This window comes from Homo sapiens, chromosome 21, assembly GCF_000001405.40.
Source record: "Homo sapiens chromosome 21, GRCh38.p14 Primary Assembly".
Classification (NCBI taxonomy): domain Eukaryota; kingdom Metazoa; phylum Chordata; class Mammalia; order Primates; family Hominidae; genus Homo; species Homo sapiens.
The window spans coordinates 33,305,560-33,323,178 of NC_000021.9; the positions used below are offsets into that span (position 1 = coordinate 33,305,560).

The 17,619-nt window shown below is 39.2% G+C and overlaps 1 protein-coding gene across 3 annotated transcripts in view, besides 1 other annotated feature; it reads left to right on the plus strand.

Annotated features, from left to right (window-relative positions):
* Positions 1–4,623, plus strand: part of IL10RB (interleukin 10 receptor subunit beta) — a 43,816-nt gene extending 39,193 nt beyond the window's left edge. For 2 of the 3 annotated variants that reach the window (NR_175973.1, NM_001405849.1), the window contains one exon: positions 3,417–4,623. Coding sequence is in view for 2 of the 3 variants with exons in the window: in NM_001405849.1 (NP_001392778.1) it covers positions 3,417–3,422 (6 nt within the window). In the remaining variant the exon portion in view is untranslated. Of the gene's footprint in view, positions 1–2,625; positions 3,333–3,416 lie in introns of those variants that run through there. The other variant, NM_001405850.1, reaches the window with a different exon arrangement.
* Positions 7,718–7,787: a silencer, noted in NCBI's record as "silent region_13255". NCBI's record gives its function as "represses an Ori minimal core promoter by ATAC-STARR-seq in GM12878 lymphoblastoid cells {active_cell/tissue: GM12878}" and the evidence as "EXISTENCE:reporter gene assay evidence [ECO:0000049][PMID:35858748]".

Here is a 17,619-nt window from a genome sequence, read left to right on the forward strand (position 1 = left end):
TATTGTAGCAGCGTAGGCAGGGTGAAGGGAAACCAAAAAACAATACAGTAGCAATAGTGGGAAGCTCACTAGCTCTAGGCCTGTTGGGAGGCAGGGGAGGAGCCATTACCCTGGAGAGCACAGGGGTCAGCCACACAGCCCACTAATGGAGACCCTGCAGGAAGAGAGCACACCTCATTGTCCCCCACCCTCTGATCTTGGGCTGATGCCTCCCACTGGTGGAACCCACCCAAAGTCAGAGGGTAAAGGACTCTGCTGATGAATTTTTTTTTAATTTTTAATATTTTTTTGAGATGGAGTCTTGCTCTGTTGCTCAGGCTGGAGTGCAGTGGCACAATCTCGGCTCACTGCAATCTCCACCTCCCAGGTTCAACTGATTCTCCTGCCTCAGCTTCCCAAGTAGCTGGGATTACAGGCACCCAAGACCACACCCAGCTAATTTTTGTATTTTTAGTAGAGTAAGTGTTTTACCATGTGAGCCAGGCTGGTCTCGGACCTCTGACCTCAAGTGATCTGCCCACCTCGTCCTCCCAAAGTGCTGGGAATACAAGCATGAGCCACCACACCCATTTTTGATGCATTTTATACAAGAAGTCTCCCAGGGCATGGAACAGGGCAGGCCCAGAGAAGAATGGATCTGGAGAGGCAGATGGAAGGCCTACAGCACCCAGGGAAGCAATATGAGAAAAGAATATAAGAACAGAGACTGTGACAAAGCAAATTTAGATCCACAACATTGACATTTTTATAAAAAGGTTTTTGGAGGTTTATACTGAAAAGTTTTGTAACAATTATATTCATGTGTATCAGATTTGTAAGGTGTTCAAACCATTTTAACATATCCATTTGGCTTATAATTTTCATTACATTTTTAGTTTGAAAGAGTTTAATTGATTAAATTTTTAATCATTGTTTAAATACTCGAGGAACCCTAGTTTGTAAAATTCTAGTTTTTGATATAATAGTTATCTGAGCAGAATGTGAATTTACATCATTGGGTTTTTGGGGGGTGGGGTTGTTTGGAGTGCAGTGGTGCGATCATGGCTCACTGCAGCCTGGACCCCACTGGGACCCAGCGGTCCTCCTGCCTCAGCCTTCCAAGTAGCTGGGACTACAGGTTCGTGCCACCATGCCCAGATAATTTTTTTTACTTGCTTTGTAGAGATGGGGTCTCACTTTGTTGCCCAGGCTGGTCTTGAACTCCTGGGCTCAAGCAATCCTCCTGCCTTGACTTTCCAAAATGCTGGGAGTCACCACACCCAGCCCAACAACATTGTTAGCTGTTTAAAAACAATGATTTAGTGTGGGTTCCCTTCAGTGTGTAAAAATTATTAAAATCGGGTAAGTTTAGCATCTGTGGGAGCCAGGAGGGAGCTAAGCGCCTGGTAACCTTCCACTTCTTCTTTCCCTAATTTAGATCATGTCATTCCTCTGCTAAAATCTCCATCATGGCTTCCTATCTGGCCCAGAATAAAGCCCAAATCCTTGCCAGAGGCTGCAGGCCCCACCGACTACTCCCCTGGCCTCCATTCCTCTGCACCCCTTCTCTCCTCATTCTGCAGGGGCTCAGCCTACTTGCTGTGCTTGTGTGGAGACAAACGTGACTGCATCTTGGATGCTAATCCACCATGTTGACTTCTGATTCACCCCAGTCCCTGAAGTCCTCCTGATTCCTACTTTATTTACTGTCCTTAGTGTAAGAACATGTACTCGCTACAAATCCTGCCTTGAGATCAAAGCAACCATAATACTATCACACCAAGTACAGGCTATGACGCACATAGCAGTCTTGCCTGTTCTGGACAGTGGTCTTTCATTGACTCTTTGGAGTATGTACCCTCTTTCCCTCTAGTATATAATCTCTGGATCTGAGGGTAACCATGAGAAATCCCTTTGTCTTGCAGCTGCCCAAGACCATGCTTCTGTCTGTGAGTTCCCCAATAAACCACCCTTTACCGACAAACTGAATTTGTCTTCCTTGTTCTTCGGTTTCTCAGCTCCTTTGGCATTTGAGGGCCTTTTTGCATATAGGGCCCTTTCACGGAACAGCCTGGGATGTGCCAGAGACACATCTGTCTCAGAGCCCGTGCATATGCTCTTCCCTAAGCATGGAACACTTTCTATTTACACAGCCCTCTCCTTGTGTCATTGCGTCCAGTGTCTCTTTCTTAGAGAGGCCCTCTCCCTTGCTGTCTCTTGTCCCTCTTTCTTTTTCTTCATAGTATGTAGCATTACTTGACATCATAATATTTCGATTCAATTCAACAAATATTTTTTGTTCACACATTTGTCCTTGTCCACACTAGATTGTAGGCTCCAGGAGAGCACAGACATTGTATATTTCATTCACTCCTGGATCCCCAGCCCTTAGAACAGTGCTTGGTGCTTAATAGATGGCTCAAGATCTATTTGTTGAATGCATGGATGTATGAGTGAATGAATGAATGCTCAGGATCTTTCAGTAAATCCGTGGCTGACTCATGCCCAGAGTTCAGGTCTTCTATGTTCCTTTCATTGATAGCTGCATTGCCTTCCAGGATTTCCCATCTTTCAGATTTCCAGAAATTATGTATACATATATACTGTGCCCTCTCAGCTGATGGCTTCCTTTTCCTTTCTTCACAGCTCTCTGGCATCAATTTTTCCACTTCTCAGAAACACTTTGGCCCACAAATTCCCAAAGGAACCTTGTTCTTCATTCTGGAAAACACGATGCCAACATATCAGAATAAAGGACAGATAGGAGCTTTTGCTTCAAAGTGAATCACTTCATGGATGTTAAAGTGTCCTGAAAGATTCTAAACTTCACAACTTTTGATAGTAACTGTACTATATTTGCAACATATTTGCATATATTAATTGTTATATCTGAAAAGCATGAGATTGCTGTTTTATAAAATTAAATGAAGTAAGTTAATATTTTATTGCTAGGTATAAGAACTGCTGATGAGGACATCTATAGAAGTAGAAAATTCTAAATGTCCTACCATCACCAATAAGAAACTTTTGACAGTCCCGTAGATACAATATAATCACATGGAAAACTGTATACAGTATATTGTATGTGAAGATCCCACAAAAAGAATAGGGACTGTAGGAAATATAATCATCTAAGCTACGGGTAAGAAGAACATCAAGATTCTTTAAAGCAATGGCTCTCAAAGTGTGTTTCCTAGACCAGCAGCATCAGCACCACATGAAAGCTTAGGAATGCAAACTCTCCAGCCCCGCCTCGGGCCTACTGGCTCAGCGACTGTGAGGGAGAGGTCTGTATTTTCATCTATGTTATAACAGGTCCTTGGGTGACTCCAATAAACACTAAAGTTGGCAAACCATTGCCTTTAAGGGTGCATAAGGTGTTAATTTAGTACAAAATTTGCAGTTTTCTGTGTTGTTGTGACTTTCTATTTTTGCAGGAGTAGAAAAGTACCCCATTGCAGTAGAGATAAGTGGATCTGAAACCCCAACAGCAGCTGAAGAGGTTCTTTATGACAGCTGGAACCTGCACTCCAGTTGCCCTTGCACGTTTGTGGTTTAGCAGTCCCAGAGACAAATCTGCCACTTCTGGCTTGCATCCAACAAAAGTGCAGCTGTTCATCATTAGGAGATGTTGGCTGATGTACATAGACATGTAAGAAAGATTCAAAGCGTCATGGATGGATCACCAATAACACCAGCATATGCAAGACCAGAGGAGAGTGTGTGATCCAGGTCCTAGGATTGACAAATGAGGACTCAGTCCCTACTTGGGTTGGTGTTTTATTTTGACTTTTTTCTGAAACAGCAGAGAAGCTTACCAAATAATCACAAGGAGATAAGAAAGTGTTTACATTTGTTTCAGTTGCTCTTCACTGCCTCCTTATGACCAACACTCACAATTCTATGGTCTTAGCAGTTGCACTAAGAAGTCAGAAGAACCTGCTATTGTGGGTTCATAATCTTTTATTACCTTTCACTGAGAAACAATTTATACTACTAAACAAGATATCAGTTATGATGCTCAAGATTTTAAGTGCCTTTTGAACTAAAAACAAACAAAAAAATTGTGACCTGCATATAATGTAAATGGTTTATCTTCAAGTCAAAAGCCACAGGTTTACCTCTGCAGCTTTACTCTTTCCTAAACATTGCTTTCGTGTATTGCTTATGCATGCTTTCTGCGTCCCAAAAAGTATGTAGAGAATAACAGTTTAAGTCCTCCAGAGGAGTTACTACCTCTACTACATGTTTCATTCTCATTACATGTTGCATTGCTTATTAATATCTGTGTTTTGTAGTGGACTTCATGAGGACAGGTAATGTTACCAACTGAATTGTGTACCCCCAAAATTCACATGTTGAAACCCTAATCCCCAATGTGACTGTATTTGAAGTAGGGCCTACAGCAGGTAATTAAGGTTAAATGAGGTCATAAGTGTGGGGCCCTGAATCGATGAGATTAGTGTCCTTATAAGAAGAAACAGCAGAGACCTTGTTCTCTCCACCATATGAGGACACAGTGAGAATGTAGCCATCTGTGAGCAGGAAGGGAGGCCTCACCAGGATCCAAATGAGCCAGAACCTTAATCTTGGACTTCTCACCCTGCAGAACTGTGAGAAAATAAATTTCTGTTGTTTAAGCCACATAATTTGTGGTATTTTGTTATGGCGGCCTGAGCAGACTAATACAGATACCATGTCTATCTTGTTCATTATCCTATCTTCTGTGTTATAGTTTATCAAATATATGTTTAGTAAGATGCATCCTAGTTAGAAGGCATTGAACTTGGGCTTAAATAACTGCTGCATCGTGTTACATTTCCAGGATTTTTTCTCTCTTTCATGAACTCTGTGAAGAAATTTTACTTAGAAAAAACTGACACTGTCATTGGCATTACAAGAGGTGCTCTACAGGACTTGTGTGACCCACAGTAATCCTGCAAAAAAGCCATGTCATCCACTCATGGACAGATTTAAGCTTAAAATTCTTCCAGAGTTTGCAATGGGATATCTCCCTTTATCTTCTCTGTGGTACAGAGACAGTTTTCTGTTAATTTCCACATAAGGGCTTTCCATGAACATGGTAAACAAAAAAGGGAGAAAGCAACAAGTTATAGCACTCTGAGTAGGTAGGTTTCATGAGAGCAGAGAGGTGATCAGGAAGGCAGAGATGTGAACAGACCAGATGTCTTGGGGGCTCAAGACCAGTATACATGGTGTGGGAACAAATATTAAGTCTTTTATTTTTATTTTTCAAATATTTTTTTAAAGGATTTAAGCCAGGCACAGTGGTTCATGCCTGTAATCTCAGCTACTTCAAGAGGCTGAGGTGGGGCCGGGAGCGGTGGCTCATGCCTGTAATCCCAGCACTTTGGGAGGCTGAGACAGGTGAATCACTTGAGGTCAGGTGTTTGTGACTAGCCTGGCCAACATGGGGAAATCCTGTCCCTACTAAAAATACAAAAAGTAGCTGAACATGGTGGTGTGCACCTGTAATCCCAGCCACTCAGGAGGCTGAGGCACGAGAATCACTTGAACCCGGGAGACAGAGGTTGCAGTGAGCCAAGATTGTGCCACTGCACTCCAGCTTGGGTGACAGAGTGAGACTCCCTCTCACAGAGTGAGAGGATTCCTTGAGCCCAGGAGTTTAAGGCTGCACCACTGCTAGAATCACACCACTGCACTCCAGCCTGGGCAACAAGCAAGACCCCATCTCATAAAAAGCCTTTAAAATCCCTTTTTAAATGTCTATAAAAGGCATCCTTTTCAAATGTTTATTTTGTATGTGATTTACGATGTGCATAAAAATATGTGCAGTAATATGCGTATTTAGCTTATAGATAAATAACAATACACCTACTGGGAATGCATGATCAACGTTGTTGTTTTCCTACTGGAATTATGTAATAAAAAATATCTAAAGGCTGCTGTTCTTGACTCAGGTATGACAGAAAGGTGGAAACAAAACGAGGAGGTACAAACACTAATGGGTTAATTAAAAGTCAGTCAACAGAATAGCAGTGGCAAAAAGCTTCCCACACTCCTCTGCTGCCTGCCTCTCCCCTTCCTGAGGCAGTCAGGCATTTGTCTAAGTCACCCTTAGGCAAAAAATTATAGATCTGTTCTTCTCAATAATTGAATTAACCACCCTGGCAATATTACTGCACTCTTCAGTAGGCCAAAGGGAAGAGTTCACCATTCTGGCAGTTGGTGTCCACAATCTTGCAATGTCTCACACCCTACTTCCCTACTTATCCTACAGGGATGCTTCCAGAGATAAGTTCTGCCTCAAAAACACGTCTTCATTTTCTTGAGAAAGACTCTGTTAATACTAGCTACCTAAAAAAAATCAACCTGCTGTCTCCTTTAAAATATATTTAAAAAATACTCAAAGATTGCCAATGAGAAAAATAAAAGAAAAAGACAAACAGAACCAATTGACTCTTAAAGAAATAGAATATTGGAACAGAAGAGAATGTCACAGAAACCCAAATTCTAAAAGATCCCACATTCGTGCATCCATAAAATGAGAACATGATGCTATATATTAAAAAATCAGAATAAAGAAGTGCTTTTAAAAATTAAACATATAATCACAGAAATAAATATTTCATTAGAAATCAAGTAAATCTTCCGGAACCAAGGACAAAAATATAAAGAGTTAAAAACTAGAGAGAACATATTAGGAGACCTCAAGGGTCAATCCAGGAAGTACAATTTTCTACTAATAGGAGTTTAAGAAAGAAGAAAGAAAATGGAAGGGAGGAAGTATTTAAAACACGGTGCAAGGATGAGACTTCTGCTTCTGGCCATGATGGAGTAACATGGAGCAGATTTACTCTTTCGCCTTAAACTATAAATAAACAACCAAAATAGCACAAAAGATTTAAAATACATATTTTTAGATATTAGACAATAAAAAACTCAGGACAGTAATCCCTAAGAGAAGAGAAACAATTGAGATGATCTCTACAATTGCCCAAACTGACTTACTGGAGAGAATTTCTAGGCCTCAGCATAGAGAGAAGGACTCCATATCCCTGTGGGTCGAGGAAACGCAGCTAGGAGTCCAAGGAGGCCAGGGCAGCTAGATTTCATGGAGTAGAGAACCAGACAAGACAGAGCTTCACACAGAGAAAAAGCTCCAGAGAGCTGCAAAGAGTATTAGGCTAATTACTGATCAGACAATGTGTAGTAAGGAAACTTGAGGCCAGGGAAAGAACCACGCTAAAAAAGCAAAGGGATAAATCCCCAGGGTTCATGCTGGGCTGAAAATAGTTTCCAACCAGCGTGGAAAATCTCATAATTCATGAAGCATCAGGTAGCATACTCAGGGGGCTATTACTTCAATAGTGGGGCAAATGTGCTCTTACACCAAACACTTGCCTGATCCTCTCTGACAAAAGCAAGCCTCAAAAGTACCAAACCATTTCCAAGTAGCTTAGCTGGATCCCAGAATAAAACTCAAGCAATATTTATAGGAATAAAGAAATATCCAGCACCCAACAATGTAAAATTTATAATGTCTGGCACCCAATAAAAAATTACTAGCCATGAAAAAAGGTAGGAAAATACAACCCATAATGAATGAGAGTGTTTTTTAACAAAAAAATTAAACAAATTAAATTCAATAGAGTTTAATTTAGCAAAGAACAATTCATAAATTGGGCAGCCCCCAGAATAGGTTCAGAGCAACTTCAGGGCTGCCACATGGTCAATAACATTTTTAAACAGAAAAAGGAAAGGGATGTACAGAAAACAGAAGTGAGATACAGAAATAGCTGGATTGATCACAGCTGTTTTGTTGCCTTATTGAAGCTGGCTTAAACAGCTGGCCACCTGTGAATGGCCAAAACTCAGCTGCTGTGATTGGCTGAGACTCCGCTACTTGTTACAAGAGCAAATTACAGTCTGTTTACACATCTAGGTAGGCTACAGTTCATGATGTACAAAGAAGCCTTTAGGCCAGACTTAAAATATGTAAGGAGGTAGCTTTAGGCTAAATTTAATTTAACAAGAAGAAAAGTAAATCAATAGAAATAGTAGATAGATTTGGTAGATTGGGACATTAAAACGGTTATTGAAACCATATTTTATATGTTCAAGAAGATGAAAGAAAGCATTAGTATATTAAGGAAAGACATGAAATATATTTTTAAAAGACTAAATCCAACTTCTAGAGATGAAGAGTACAATGTCTGAGATGAAAAATATACTGAATTCAGATTAATAGCTGATTAGACACTGTAGAAGAAAAGAGCAGTGATATTGAAGACATAGTGATAGAAACTATTCAAAATGAAAGACACAGGGGAAAGGACAAGAAAAAATGAAAGAATAGCATCGAACACAACTTTAAGGAGTCTAATAAGTGTGCATTTTGAAGGAGAGTAAAGCGAGGATAAGAAAAAAATTGAAAGAATGGCCAATAGTTTTCCAAGCTTGATGAAAACTATAAACCCATCGATCCAAGAAGCTCACCAAACCCCAGCCACAAAAATGATACATGAAAATTTTCTTCAGCTAGACAGACACAAATCCTCAAATAGAAAGGGTCCACTGAATGGTGTCAAGCAATCAGGTGTCCAGATAGTATTTAGGACAATGAGCTGAACTGAAAATAACAATCAAGCCTTTATTAACTGCAAACAAGAAGCAAAAAAGAGGCGGCAGCACCCCAGTGTTCCTTTTTCCCCTACAGAATGGCCAGGAATGCAGATACGCTTATGAGCAGGGCTGGCCAGAGGTGGTGTGGGAGGTGGGAAAGCTGAGTCCTTAACCACAAATCCCTCTAGAAAAATGCAGTGCACTGTAGTGCACATGCAAGTCTGGTATGGGGAGGACAGTTTCTCCCCATGAGGCCTGGCAGACAAAGCTTTGTAATTTCTGTGGTCAGGATTGAAAGATCACGCACAAGATTTTGGGACGGAGCCAGACTCCTCAAATGAGGAGCAGAATCATTAGGGGAATAAAGGCTCATCCTCCTCTTTCCAATACACTGATAGATATAAAATCTGGATATCAGGAAAGAAATCTAGGCTGAAGACCAATTTGGGAGCCATGAGCATAAATGACAGTCAGTGAACTCACAGAAGAGGAAGAGACCACTATAGGAGATGAGAAAAGAAGATGAGCCAGGACAAAGCAGTGAGGGACACTAATATTTAAGTCACAAGCAGTGGAGTGGGTTGTCCTGGAGATTGAGAAGAATGGCCAGAAAGACAGATGCAACAGCAAACGAGTATGGAATCATGAGAAAAAGAGCGTGGGGAATGATAGATACCAAATGCTATGGAGAAGTCAAGTAAAATCAAGGCTATAAAATGTCTAATAGATCTGAATACTAGAAATTAGCTGATGATCTGGGTGAGAAGAGAATAAGCAAAACGGGACAGAAAGATAAGCTCAGTGGGCTGAGGAATACATAAGTGAGAAAACAAAGATAGTTGTGGACAAATGTAGACAGATTTGGCTACGAATAATAACAGGAAGGACGGCTTCTGGAGTGAAAGCAGCATATACGCCTTTTTAAATTGGGAGAGACTTGAGAATGTGTAACTGTTAACAAGAAGAAACTAAAGAGAGGAGATAAAGTCATGAAAAAACGTAAAAATAATCAACGGATAGCCATCCCTATGAAGGGGTGGCTCACGGAACCAGACAGAGAGATTTTCATTTGACTGAAAGAAGGATGTCTTCCCAACGACAGGGAAAGACAGAATGGAAGCAGGTGCAGGTGAGTTTGAAGTTTTGGTGATGGAGAGCTGAAACCTGATCTGTTGACTGTATTTTCCAAGAAACTAGGAGCTGGGTGGAGGAACATCTGTTGAAAATGAGAAGAAAAGCTGTAGGGTAGAGATGTGAAGTAAGTGTAGGTTTTTAATTTCAGCTCAATTGAGGTTGCAGACTATGAAGTTTTGATCATTGGGGCTATTTGATCCTTCAGGTTTTCTCCAGAAAAACTAGATCTTCCCTCTGAGCCCTCCTGAAGTAGGAAAAACAGTAACCACGATGGTCAGAAAAAAATAACCAAAATTACTGAGCACACTGTGCCAGACACTAAACTAAGCTCTTGGTGTGCATTAACTGATTAAAAATTCATCACACCACTATGATATAGATATTATTATAGTCCCCATGAGGAAGCAGGAAAAAAGATTAAGTAACTTGCCCAAGATCCCAGAGTGACGGAGGTGGGATAGCAACCTAAGTCAACTTCAGAACTCAGACTCTTAACCAGTAGGCCAGTCTCTGTTTAAGAGATACTTAGTTACCACTTGAAAAGGCGTATGGCTGTCTTCCATGTTACTGCTTAAAAACAGACATCTTTCTCAGTATGCAGTGAGCATGCAGCCACACTCAATCTTTCCTCAAGCCATGTGAACACAGACTAGACCTTCAAATATGCTGTTCCCTTTATTTAGAATGCTGTATCCCTCTTCTTTTCCTATCTCCTACTTATACTCTGCCTCCCCTTAAACATCTCTTACTGCAGGTCACCTGCTGCAATGTGTATCCCTCACCACTAAACTAGTTTAGTGTTCCCACCGTTTGCTTCATCATCATCATTATTACTATTTTGAAATAGCATCTCACTCTGTCACCCAGGCTGGAGTGCAGTGGTGTGATCACGGCTCATTGTAGCCTTGACTTCCTGGAGTTCAAGCGATTCTCCAGGCTCAGCCTCCTGAGTAGCTAGGACCACAGGCCTCTGCCACCTCATCCAACTAATTGTATTTTTTGCAGATATGGGGGTCTCTCTTTGTTGTCCAGGCTGGTCTCAAACTCCTGGGCTCAAGTGATCCTCTTGCTGCAGCCTCTCAAAATGCTGGGATTACAGGTGTGAGCCACTGTGCCAGCTTCACTACTATCTTTTACTGAATTGCCTGCCTACTGGGATGAGGAAATGTATAGGATGATAAAGCACCAAGGAGAAAGACATTCTGGAGATTCCAGAGTAGAACGGCTCAGATTCCTTCCTGAACATCCTGGAGCTAGTGTTTGTACACCCTCAAAGTCTGTGCCACTGGGCTGCTACTCAGCTAGGACTCTTCTCCTTTCATCTACCAAACTCTCCTCCCAGAAAGAAGTGAATTTATTCTTCTGGAAGGTTCTAAAGCAGTGATTTCTAATCCAGGGTGCACCCACCCTAGGGGTTTGCGTTGGATTACAGGGTCCACCGAAGTGCAGTGAAATTCTATTTACATTCTTTAATAAGAAATAAATTAAGCTTTTGATATTTGATATATAACCTAGCACAAGCACCTTCACTTGGTCCAAATGCCAGAGCATCACATTGTCACATTCAGTGATGTGTGACACACTTGAGAACAGAGTGAGAAACTCACAAGGTGGAAATGCGCAGCGATGCTTCTGCTTGTACACTTTTGGAGTTTGTGATTATGTCTAACCATTTACTTGGCTTGATGTGTGTTTACAGGTCGTTAGCTAGTTTTAACTAAATTAATGCTCACAAAATGGATGTGACAAGATTCTTGCAAATAAATTGGAAATTAAAGATAGTACTATTAATACACAAGTGAATAAGATAACAGCAGCCTTGACATATTAGCTAATCACAGTATGAAGCCATCACATTAGGAAGACATTTTCCAGAAAAGCAAACCCCCACAATTTCTTTCCAAGAGTGTTTAAAGTCATATGATACTCATTCGTTTTGGTTCTTTACAAAATTTCGTAATTGGTGACAGTGTTTAGAAACTGCTTTGGGGGTTCTTAATAGCAAAAGACAAAAAGCCACATGCCCCTTGTTCTTCTTTCTACAATATGACAAACTAAAATACATTCCTCAGTCAGCAATAGTGTTGGACTGTGTATAGCAAATACGGCTGACAATGCGAAGAAACAAGAGTTCAATTTCACAGTGTGGGAAATCTGCCACGTAATCATATGGAAACATGCTCTAAAGCACAGATGTTTCTAACATGTCTTTTTCCAAAAGTGAAATACCCAAGGAACGACTTTTTCTTTGTTAGCCAAAAAGGGAAAGATAAAATATATACTCAACAGTAATTTACTTCCTTAATTAAAACAAAAAGTTTTAGTGCCCATATATTGGTTTCTAAATACCATCCCCCAATAAAAACATCATCAACAACAACAACAACAACAAAAAGCAGGGCCCCTTGAAGAAATGGCTGATTTTAGGACTGAGCAGGAAAAATATAAGATGAACTTGGAACATCTTGTGCTAGAAAGTAAAGAAGTGTTAGAAAAAATTAAGAGCATACTAGCAAAAGGAACAAGAGTCAGCTTGAAGTGGCTGCCACTGGCCAAATCTAGGACAATTTGAGCATTAAAATAAATAAGGAGGGTGAATTGGTAGAGCACAGGTGATATTTAGGGCGGTGAAATGCCTCTGTATGATGCTGTAATGGTAGATACATGACATTATGTTGCAAGTGGTTATGTATGAGAAGGGCAGGAGACGGCTCTTCCCCCACCCACCAGGAATGTCAGGTGATGGTTCAACAATCACATTGCCTCTCTAAAAATAATTCAGCACCCAGAGCCGAATTATCTCCTAATGGTCCACAGCTATTACATTAGAGTGTTAATTGAATGTAGGCGCCAAGAAGCAAAAAGAGCTTCCAATAATCTCCGGTATTGGGTGAGTGAGCCGGTGCATGCACATTAAGAGACAAAACGGCAGAGTATGACCTTCCGGGGGCACTCCATCGGAAAAGGGAAGAAATCTTCAGATGGGCATGCGCACAACTTCCTAAACACACTGCACATGTTCACCTCCCAAGTGTAAGAAGGGCACTGCGCATGCGGGCAGCCCACCCTAAGGGAAGAATCATGGGAAAGGGGTGCAAAACCCCAGAAGTGGGCCAGCCTATAAATCCTAGAATCACAGTTAAACGCTGCATTTGTCCTTCAATTTGCCCGCTTGGGTCTCTTCCAAGTGTACTTTCCTTTCTTTCCCGTTCTAAAGCCTTTTTAAATAAACTTCCACTCCTTCTCTGAAACTTGCCTCAGTCTCTTTTTCCGCCTTATGCCCCTCAGTCGAATTTGCTGTGCAGGTAACTGGGATGCCTTCTACCAGTAACAATTATACATTGTAAAAACCCATAGAATGTACAACACCAAGAAAGAACTCTTACGTAAACTCTGGACTTTAGTTAATAATGTATCAGTATACGTTCATCAGCTGTAAGAAATGTACCACCCCAATGCAAGATGTTAACAACGGGAAACTGAAAGCAGGCTTGGGATGAGGGGGTATATAAGAACTCTCCACACTGTCTGTAAACCTAAAACTCCTCTAAAAGTTGTATATTAATTTTAAAAATTTAAGTAAGGATAACAATGAACTATAACCAATGAAATAAAATAAGAATCTGTGAGTCTATACTAATAATAAATGGAGACCGGGCGTGGTGGCTCACGCCTGTAATCCCAGCACTTTGAGAGGCCGAGGCGGGCAGATCACCTGAGGTCGGGAGTTCGAGACCAGCCTAACCAACATGGAGAAACCCTGTCTCTACTAAAAATACACAATTAGCCGGGCATGCTGGTACATGCCTGTAATCCCAGCTACTCGGGAGGCTGAGGCAGGAGAATTGCTTGAACCCAGGAGGCAAATGTTGCGGTGAACCGAGATGGCGCCATTGCACTCCAGCCTGGGCAACAAGAGCAAAGCACCATCTCAAATAAATAAATAAATAAATAAATATAAATGGAAAGAAAGAAAAGCTCTTTCTTAAATTGTGTCAACTAATATTTGCAGTGAGAGGGTCAGGGTTGAAAACTTACCATTTCATGACCATCACAGGTAGGATAGTTCAGGCAAGGATGATTAATGGATGTTAATTCTAGAAGAAAAGTTTGATGAACAGCAGAATATTTGCAGGATTTCCGAGTGTCTTCCCACCAATTAGCTGCAGGAGGTGGGGTGGGAGGGGAGGTCGATGGGGGGCGGAATAGTAACTATACAATGGAGACTGTAACTATAATACTTTGATACATGATCAAAATTAACATCACATATGAGGTACTAATAAGCTTAATGTGCCTGTGAAGGGACTGAGGACACCACACAAGCCAGGTACGCATAATCTGAAATTAATCAGGAGAAACCATCAGACAAGTCCAAATTGGAGAAGCATTCTATAAAATAGTTGGCCTGTGTTTTTCAAAAAAAAAAAAAAAAATCCCCAAATCAAAAAAATGTCCATGACATGAAAGACAATGGCCAGGGAAGTACTCTGGATTAAAGAAAGCTAAAGAAGTTCAGGAAAATAAATAACATACATACATGACTTTGTATGTGTATTTAAAGAGGGAGTGTAGATATGGCAAAATATTAACGATTTGCTGAATCTGGGCAACGGGTATGTGGGAGCTATCTTACTATTTTTGCAACTTGTCTGTAATTTCAAATTATTTCCAAGCAAAAAGTAAAAATGGGACTGGGTGTAGTGGCTCACTCCTGTAATCCCAGCACTCTGGGAGGCTGAGGTAGGTGGATTACTTGAGGCCAGGAGTTCAAGACCAGCCTGGCCAACATGGCAAAACCCCGTCTCTACTAAAAATACAAAAATTCGCCAGGCGCAGTGGCACACGCCTGTAGTCCCAGCTACTTAGGAGGCTGAGGCAGAAGAATCGCTTGAACTGAGGAGGCAGAGGTTGCTGGGAGCCGAGATCATGCCACTGCACTTCATCCTGGGCAACAGAGCAAGATTCCCTCTCCCCTCCCCACCAAAAAAGGTGAAAAAGAACATGCTGTATGGAAAAACTGCAAGTGCAGCCTCTAATGGACCGTTTTGACTAGAATAAAGGAGAGAAGGGAGGTTCTGGGTTAAGGTTACAGAGCTTGCACCACAGGGGAAATTAATTCATGTCTTATCCTTAAATAAATTATTACAGCAAAAAAGTTGAAACTAAAGTACACGAAGTACTTACCACAGGGTGTCACAGCTGTGGCAAATTTTATTAAAGCACAATCCAATTTTATTAAAATACAATTCAATGTTTATAATAGGTTGTATTAAGATGGGGAAGAGTGAAAATCTTAGGAAAGGAGGAAGAAAAGGAGGGGAGGAAATTGTCAATGTGTTTAAAAATCTAATTAAACTTTTCAGTCATTTTGAGCTCATTGTTCTAAATATAAAAATGCATCCTATTCCAACTAGTTTGCAAGAACTTTTGGACAGCAGGAAATGGAAATTTTAATTTAAACATGCAGAGTCGTTCAAAAGGCTTTTAAAATAAGTATTATTTTGTAATTGCAACCAGGAATTTTTCCTCTTCCATTTGGATTCACGTATCTTCATGGGGTGTTTTTCCACCTTTGGTGTTGTTAAAACGAAGTACTGACACACTCAAAATCAAACCCCCAAATCGATGAATCGTAAAGTGATAATTCAAAGTTTTTTAAACGATACCTAACAGCTGGATAGATTGCCTAAAAATCATTATTCACTCAAACTGGGTGAATTTCAAGATACATAAATTATACCTCTAAGATGTTTTTAAAATAGGCATATTTCCCCTGGGCGTGGTGACTCACGCCTGCAATCCCAGCACTCCGGGAAGCAAAGGTGAGCGGATCACTTCAGGTCAGGAGTTCCAGACCAGCCTGGGTAACACAGCGGAAATCCCATCTCCACTAAAAATACAAAAACTAGCCGGGCGCAATAGCGCACAGCTGTAATCTCAGCTACTCAGGAGGCTGAAGCAGGAGAATCGCTTGAACCCGGAAGGCGGAGGTTGTGGTGAGCCGAGATCGCGCCACTGCACTCCAGCCCGGGTGACAGAGCAAGACTCCGATTCGAACAATGCAATGGAATATATACATATATGTATATATGGAACATATATACATATGTGGAACAAATACATATATGGAACATACATATGTGGAACAAATACATATATGGAACATACATATGTGGAACCAATACATATATGGAACATACATATGTGGAACCAATACATATATGCAACATACATATGTGGAACCAATACATATATGCAACATATATATGTGGAACCAATACATATATGCAACATATATATGTGGAACCAATACATATATGCAACATATATATGTGGAACCAATACATATATGCAACATATATATGTGGAACCAATACATATATGCAACATATATATGTGGAACCAATACATATATGCAACATATATATGTGGAACCAATACATATATGCAACATATATATGTGGAACCAATACATATATGCAACATATATATGTGGAACCAATACATATATAGAACATATATATGTGGAACCAATATATATGGAACATACGTATGTGGAACATACATATGTGGAACATACGTATGTGGACCATACATATGTGGAACATACGTATGTGGACCATACATATGTGGAACATACGTATGTGGACCATACATATGTGAAACATACGTATGTCGACCATACGTATGGGTCCCATATACATATGGGACACATACGTATGGAATATATATATGGGACACATACGTATGGAATATATACGTATATATACATATGGGACACATACGTATGGAATATACATATGGAATATACATATATGGGACACATAAGTATGGAATATATACGTATGGAATATACACGCATGGAATATATACGTATGGAATATATATGTATGGAATATACACGTCTGGAATATATATGTATGGAATATTCACGTATGGAATATATATCTGGAATATATATATATGGAATATATATCTGGAATATATATATGGAATATATATCTGGAATATATATATATGGAATATATATCTGGAATATATATATATGGAATATATATCTGGAATATATATATGGAATATATATCTGGAATATATATATATGGAATATATATCTGGAATATATATATATGGAATATATATATGGAATATATATATATGGAATATATATGGAATATATATATATGGAATATATATATGCAATATACATATATGGAATATATATATGCAATATACATATATGGAATACATATATGCAATATATATATGGAATATATATATGGAATATATATATGGAATATATATATAATATATATACGGAATATATATATACGGAATATATATATAATATATATACGGAATATATATATACGGAATATATATATAATATATATACGGAATATATATATACGGAATATATATATAATATATATATAATATATATACGGAATATATATATACGGAATATATATATAATATATGTATGGAATATATATATACGGAATATATATATAATATATGTATGGAATATATATATACGGAATATATATATAATATATGTATGGAATATATATATACGGAATAGATATATAATATATGTATGGAATATATATATACGGAATATATATATAATATATATATATGGCATATATACATGGAATATATATATATGGAATATATACATGGAATATATATATATGGAATATATACATGGAATATATATATATGGAATATATACATGGAATATATATATATGGAATATATACATGGAATATATATATATGGAATATATACATGGAATATATATATATGGCATATATACATGGAATATATATATATGGCATATATACATGGCATATATATATATGGCATATATATATATGGCATATATATATGGCA